This window comes from Homo sapiens, chromosome 1 (genome assembly GCF_000001405.40).
Source record: "Homo sapiens chromosome 1, GRCh38.p14 Primary Assembly".
NCBI lineage: Eukaryota > Metazoa > Chordata > Mammalia > Primates > Hominidae > Homo > Homo sapiens.
Genome location: NC_000001.11, coordinates 148,460,334 through 148,467,823, shown reverse-complemented (window position 1 = coordinate 148,467,823; position 7,490 = coordinate 148,460,334). Strand labels below are relative to the sequence as shown.

The 7,490-nt window shown below is 39.0% G+C and overlaps 1 annotated feature.

Moving 5' to 3' along the window:
* Positions 2,283-2,802: an enhancer, noted in NCBI's record as "H3K4me1 hESC enhancer chr1:143749622-143750141 (GRCh37/hg19 assembly coordinates)". NCBI's record gives its function as "activates a minimal SCP1, AML or CMV promoter by ChIP-STARR-seq in primed H9 embryonic stem cells {active_cell/tissue: H9 hESC(primed)}" and the evidence as "EXISTENCE:reporter gene assay evidence [ECO:0000049][PMID:30033119]".

Sequence of the window (7,490 nt, the reverse complement as noted above, 5' to 3'; positions counted from 1 at the left end):
AATATTCAGGGGAAATAAATTATTACTTAAGAGTGGGTGCTGAGAAAAAGAAATGTGTGAAGTGTGAGGTAGGAAGTATGTGAGAAAAGCTAGGGCACAGTTGTGTCTTATATTTTTGTTAAAATCTGCCTGTTAAGACTTCCTGATTGGGTAATGGGAATGATACAGTAAAATACTCTTCCTCAGAGTGTCTGACACCTTTGTGATAATTTACTACATAAAAGTACAAGTTACATTATATAAAAAGACAGAATGGCCTGGCTCAGTGGCTCACGCCTATAATCCCAGCACTTTGGGAGGCTGAGGCAGGTGGATCATCTGAGATCAGGAGTTCGGGACCAGCCTGGCCAAAAGGATGAAACCCTGTCTCTACTAAAAATACAAAAAATTAGCCAGGCATGGTGGCAGGCACCTGTAATCCCAGCTACTCAAGGGGCAGAGGCAGGAGAATCGCTTGAACCTGGGAGATGGAGGTTGCAGTGAACTGAGATCGTGCCACTGCACTCCAGCCTGGGCAACAAGAGCGGAAACTCCGTCCCCCCAAAAAAAAATGACTCCAAGAAACTGAGGTTTCTAGATGAGGGTTACACAATGTGGATCTAAAAGCAACAGGGAAAGGAAAAGGATTTGGGCCTAGAATGTGGGGAATTTTAGATGCTGCAGAAAGCCTTCTGGTGTCTTTCTAGAATGGCTGGATTTTGGTTAAGGCAAAGAAGAAGTAACTTTTCATGGAGAACAGTAGCATACAAGAGTGCGGATGGTTTGATCATTTAAGGCAGGGATGTGAGGTTTGATGGAATATGTTGATAACAAAGATTCTTTGCTTGGCCAACTTTAGTCAGGCTTCTAAATCTTCAGCTAGGCTAAACTGTGCACTTCCTCGCAAAATCCAGCATTAGCAAAGAACACTGCCAAGTTTACCAAAGAACCCCTCATTCTCAATATCTGATCAGGTTCTTCATTCTTCACCATTCTGCAGGTGATGTCTGATCACCCTGGCCAGTCTTCAGCAAGAATTCTTTTAGGTCGGTTTAGCCAGACTCTCCCTTACTCCTGATGTTTCCTCTTAGTGATTTTCCATTCACTGACCCCTGCATTGCTCCTGGGCTATAAATTCCCACTTCCCCATGCCGTATTCAGAGTTAAGCCCATCTCTCTCCCCAGCTCCAAGACTGTGTTGCAGTGGTTCCTATATCTATGGTGATGGTCCTGAATAAAGTCTTCTTTACTGTGCATTTGAAGTATCACTGAATAATTTTTTCTTTAACAATTATGGTGTTGAAACTCAACTAGGACAGATTCATCACTGGATCCTGGGCCTCTCACTCAGAACCCTAAATGCATGCCTTTGAAGTCTTTGTTGTCATTTCTGACTGATTAGGGATCCATTGGTGAATCAGATTCCTGAGCCATTGCTCCAGACAAAAGCCCGTTGATGGCTAAGGACAGATTTTGAATCTGAAGGGATGAATATTCTCTCTGAAGCTGGGGTAGAGTCCCAGGCTTCTTTTGAAAGCAATCCTCTGGGCAGGAAGGTCTTCGTGTGGGCTTCTTGTTCTGAGTGGTCTATTCTCTGAGTCCCTAGACTAGAATTCTCTTCTTTCTGGCTCTCTTTTTCTGAGTGAGGGGTTATTCCCTGATTCCCTGGGCTACAAATTGTTGTTCCTGGCTCTCTATAAAACCACTCTGCTCTTTCTCTTCTCTCTATTGGATCCTGCTTCTCCCATGGGAGCTCTGTCACCTGAAACCCCTCTTCTCAAGTCTCTGCTGACTATTTCTCTGTCCACTCTTGCCAGACCCGTTTCTTTTCTGCTGAACTTCAGGACCCCTATCCTACCCTCCTTTGAGGGGGCTCTCAAGGGACTCAGAGGCCCCTCAAAAACAAGCACCTGGGGCTGATAATAGGAGAAAAAAAGAAACTGTTTGGAAACTGATAAAGTAAAAAAAAAAAAAAAAAAAAAAAATCTTAAAAAACCTCCTCCACAAATATTGGTAAAAAGCTTTAGCCTTTGTTATGTAGGTCAACTCAACTTATCCCTTTTTCACCAGAAACACAATTTGGATAACAATATAAAGCGGAGATAAACCAGTGAGTTTGTATTTTTGTATTACTCTGTTTTACTGCCTCATGGTTAAAAACTTTTTTTTTTTTTTTTTTTTTGAGACAGAGTCTCACTTCATTGCTCAGGCTGGAGTGCAGCGGGGCAATCTCGGCTCACTGCAACCTCCACCTCCTGGGTTCAAGTGCTTCTTGTGCCTCAGCCGGGCACCACCATGCCCCACGCCCAGCTAATTTTTGTATTTTTAGTAGAGACGGGGTTATGCCATGTTGGCCAGGCTGGTCTCGAACTCCTGACCTCAGGTGATCCACCCACCTCAGCCTCCCAAAGTGCTGGGATTACAGGCATGAGCCACTGCACCTGGCCTGGTTAAAATTTTTTAAATGAGAAGTCATAAGATCTGGTTACATCAGTCTATATGTTTGTGTATGTGTACATGTGTGTATCTATGTTATTATGTTATGTATATGTGATATTTTTCTACCTCCAACGTTATTACCAAACTAAAATACCCAAATTGGCTAGGGATAAATGAGCACTCAAACAAATAAGAATGTATAAAATTTTCAGAAAAGTAGAAACTGACCCAATTTTTTTAAGTTCACATAATCTGGGATATTCCTTAGTAAATAAAAACTAGTTTAAAAAATATTGGTAAAATAAAAATAGAAACATTTTCAGAATTGTCAGCATACACTTGTTTTACCTGGCTTTGCTGATTAGACAAGTTTGTGTTGTTACTGTTAGATGTTTAAGGCCATAAAACCATAAATTCAACCTAAGAGTAGAATATGTAGTAAAAGTAAACTGCTTAATTGTCTGGTGTATGTCTGTTGCAAAAGTAAATAAGAAAAGATGTCTAGAAGGATTGTGAAAATCTTATCTTGTATGGTCTAAGCTGACTGAGATTGGATAGATTTATTTATAAGGTTTTATTAAAACTTAGTTTTAGTAATACATTGATTCAAAAGTAGAATTTGATCTTCTCCGTTAAAATGGTAAAGTTTTCTTGGAATGTTGGTCTGAGAATGTAAAGGGTATTTTTTTCCTTTTAAGTAATTGGCCTCAGAAACAGAGACTCTGTTTCATCAAGATAATTTCTTGAGTTTCATGTTGTTTTATTAGGTTTTTGGTTACTTAAGAAAAGTGAGTCTTCTCAATATTAAAGGAGCTAAGTTCTTGTTCACAACTATGTAATCTGAATTTGCCTTTAAAATCTTTTAATGGAGCTTTTATTAAATAGATAACTATGGTCATATTTGTTTTAAATGTTTTAAACTTTTTGACATTTTTGACAATCTTCCCAAAATCACATTCTAAGTTAAGTCTTTTTGACCTCAAATTAACTTAGGATTCTCCATATTGGACCCTCAAAAAGCCACAAAGAATATTTTTTTTTGTATGAAAGAGAGATTAAACCAATTAGATTTATTTAATATGCTAAATTATATGTGTAGCATTCAAATAAAAAGTGATGCTAAGCCATCTTTAAGTTATATTTATGGATATATTATTGGGATAAGTGTACAAAAGTTGTATGAGATTCCTAGAAATCTAGTATGTTATCAGTCATAATTTTGGTTATTATGTTAAAATGCTGTATGCCATGCTAACCAAATTTTCTTATAAATTGCATCATTGTAATGAACTCTCATTAGATTTTTTAACCATGGACATTTTAAGTACTTGTCATCTGTAGACAGTTATTGTTTTAATTTAATTGCTCTCTAAAAGCATTTGAAATTAGCTACAGTCCAAAATGGCTTCTTCTTCAAGGAGATTTATGGAAAATACTCTTATGAGTATTCTGGAATACAGGTTTCTGAACAAGTTTAACGTCATACAATTGGACTGGTAAGAATTTCCAGAACTCTAATAAAACTGATGGGTTCATGTAACTACTAACCCAAGATCAAGCAAAACAAGATTTAATTACATGGTACTGAATGAACTGATGAGAATAATTTTTAAAATGACTTTTTGTTGGAAACATTGCTAGTTCTTTAAATGTTTTGTTTTCCAGATTTCAGAAAACTTTCTTTTAAGCTATCTCTAGCTTACACCAATTCAGTAAAGAATACTTTTGTGCAAAATGGAAACATTTACTTTTTCCCCCTAACTTATCCCTCCAGAATTTGGAAACTATTTGTGTATATTCTTATTTTTATGACAATGTATTTATTTGCATAAGTTTAATAAGAATCTGTTGTCTTTGTAACAGGACAAACTGGAAACACAGGTTATATCACCAAGGCTTTGACTGAAACATCATGTTTTCAGATATGACCAGAAGGCTTTAGGGGACTAAAGTTGGCTTTATGGAACCAATAAAGTACCATCTTGGAAAAACTGGCTCTAGGGTTCCCAGACTTACAGGTAAGTAAAGAATGTCACTGCTTGGTGGGTCTGGAAACCTTGGGATATTTTAGGGACCTCAAGAAGAGAGAAATTTATCTAAATCTATAAATGTAACAGGTGCAGACTAATGACAAGTTTTGGGCTTGTATCCCAGCCTCAAGTGGCTTTTAAAAGTTTAATCTGACTGGAGACAGTGGCTCACCCCTGTAATCCCAGCACTTTGGGAGGCCAAGTCAGGTGGATGACGAGGTCAGGAGTTCAAGACCAGCCTGACCAATATGGTGAAAGCCCTGTCTCTACTAAAAATACAAAAAATGAGCCAGGCATAGTGGCACGCACCTATAATCCCAGCTACTCGGGAGGCTGAGCAGAAGAATCGCTTGAACCCAGGAGGCGGAGGTTGCAGTGAGCCAAGATCGCACCACTGCACTCCAGCCTGAGAGACAGAGGGAGACTCTGTCTAAAAAAACAAAAACAAAAAGTTTAATCTGAGATTTCTTATCTGACTAACGCAACCTTTAAAAGAGCCTAAAGGGTCAATCACTACTCTTAACTGCACTTGTGTACATAACCAGTACAAGTTTAATGAGATTAAACTTATTTAGCAAACAAATCAATCTGACTTTGATTATCTTTGACAGAAATGAGAGTGAATATAGAGAGAAAAGTTATGTTTCAGGAGAAAACTGCAGTGCACCCAATATTAGATTCTAGCTGTTTTTTTTTTTTTCTGAGGTTTTATTATCTGCCTGCAATCTGCAATAGATCCTCAATTTTTCTAGTTTACTACAATATTTAGCTACAACACTCCAAATTAATATTTCATTTTTTTCCTGCTATTCTGGCTTGGAATCACTAAAATTATAAACTTTTCATTTCTTGAAGTCCTTCAAACTGAAACTGGATGACTTGACATAAGCTTCAGAAAAATTACCACAACAGCTTGTGTGTGGCCCATCTTTATGGCATTCAAACTGCAAACTAATCCAATGCCTCTTCTCACTCCAGCTGAAGATACTACAAGCCCAGCATCTAGAAATCTTATTGATCAGCTGCCCTCTGGGCTCAGAAACTGTCTTTATAGTTCGTTCCAACTATTAATCTTTTTTAATTTTATTTGTATACAAACTAAACTTCCCACATTAAAGGCCCGATAGCTCACACTATCCAGGAAATATCCTCTGCTACCAAGTCCCAACAGATGATTCAACTGGTCCTTAATGAATAAAAGGTGATCAAACAAGAAAAGAGACTTATATTGTTTGAAGGAAAGATGAGTGTCTCTTCTTTCCTTAAACAAGAAGTAGTACTAACAAAGATTCCTTGCTAGGCCAAACTTTAGTCAGATGTCTATCTTCCTTGCAAAATCCAACTTTTTTTTTTTTATGTGGTACAATGTGATGTTTTGTTCTTTTTTTTAAATTTATTATTATACTTTAAGTTTTAGGGTACATGTGCACAATGTGCAGGTTAGTTACATATGCATACATGTGCCATGCTGGTGCGCTGCACCCACTAACTCGTCATCTAGCAATAGGTATATCTCCCAGTGATATCCCTCCCCCCTCCCCCCAACCCACAACAGTCCCCAGAGTGTGATGTTCCCCTTCCTGTGTCCATGTGTTCTCATTGTTCAATTCCCACCTATAAGTGAGAATATGCGGTGTTTGGTTTTTTGTTCTTGCGATAGTTTACTGAGAATGATGATTTCCAATTTCATCTATGTCCCTACAAAGGACATGAACTCATCCTTTTTTATGGCTGCATAGTATTCCATGGTGTATATGTGCCACATTTTCTTAATCCAGTCTATCATTGTTGGACATTTGGGTTGGTTCCAAGTCTTTGCTATTGTGAATAGTGCCGCAATAAACATACGTGTGCATGTGTCTTTATAGCAGCATGATTTATAGTCCTTTGGGTACATACCCAGTAATGGGATGGCTGGGTCAAATGGTATTTCTAATTCTAGATAGAATGTTTCCTCTTATAACTCATAGTGAATATGACTGGACAATGAAACTATTTTGTAATTTCTTTCCTGAAAGATAAAGGCGTTAGAACATAGAATCTTTCATTGATTCTACAGAATCTTAAGACTCCTTCAGAGATGGCAGTCATTCCTACCGTGCTGAACATCATGTTGTCACGGTCAGAATCAGAACTAAATTGATTAAGGGTCTGAAACAGTTTGGCACTCTTGGGCACTTATTCTGATAAGAAAGCTGATGAGACAGGGTAATGAAAAGAGGCTGCAAGAAATGACCATTCATGCATTCAGCCAACATTTAGGCCACCCTCCTGTATTCCAGGCACTGTACGTGGCACTGAGAATGCAAAGCAAAACGAGTCATGGTCTACTGGCGGGAGCCTTCTCAGCGGAGAAAAGATCAACAAGAAAAGTGCCTGCTGGAGACCTCTCCTAGGGCATAAACCAATATAGAGGTGGGGCAGCTACGTCAGCCTGAGGTGTCCTTAGGCAGAACAGAAAGTGAGAATCAGAGCAGTATCTCATTTCTGAACACCTGGATTGTAGCTTTCCCTGGACTGACTGTCAAAGGAGGTGGTTTTAAAAAGCAAGCCAAACAGGTTTCCATCCTTTAGGAAGACCCTGGAACGTGCCAGTTGATTCTGACAATTTCTCATGAACAGAAACACCTAGGAAGGGAGAACTGGTGAGTCTTTTCAAGAGGAGGAAGTCCCTCAAAAGGGGCTGTGTTTCGCAAACGGCGCCCCAAAAGGGCTGAAATACTTCGATCTGGAGGAAAAAGACTCAGGCACTGAGGGAAGGGGAGGGTGCACATCTGGAGTAATTTCAAGGCTTTTTCCGTGTTATCTGATGTGGCAACAAGTAAAGATTTGTTCGTTTTATTATTTTTTTAATTTTTAAAGATTTTCTTTTCCCCCCTTTTCCCCTTCCCGGCCACTCCGGTTTGTGTTTGCCACAAGACTCATAATTCCTTTAGAAAGTGGAGTCGAATTCATAAAAGTGACGGGGGGAGAGCGCGGAGAGGGAAGGCTGGGAGCCCCAGGGAGTCTTCACTACCTACACTGCCGCTCAGCTCCCGGCGC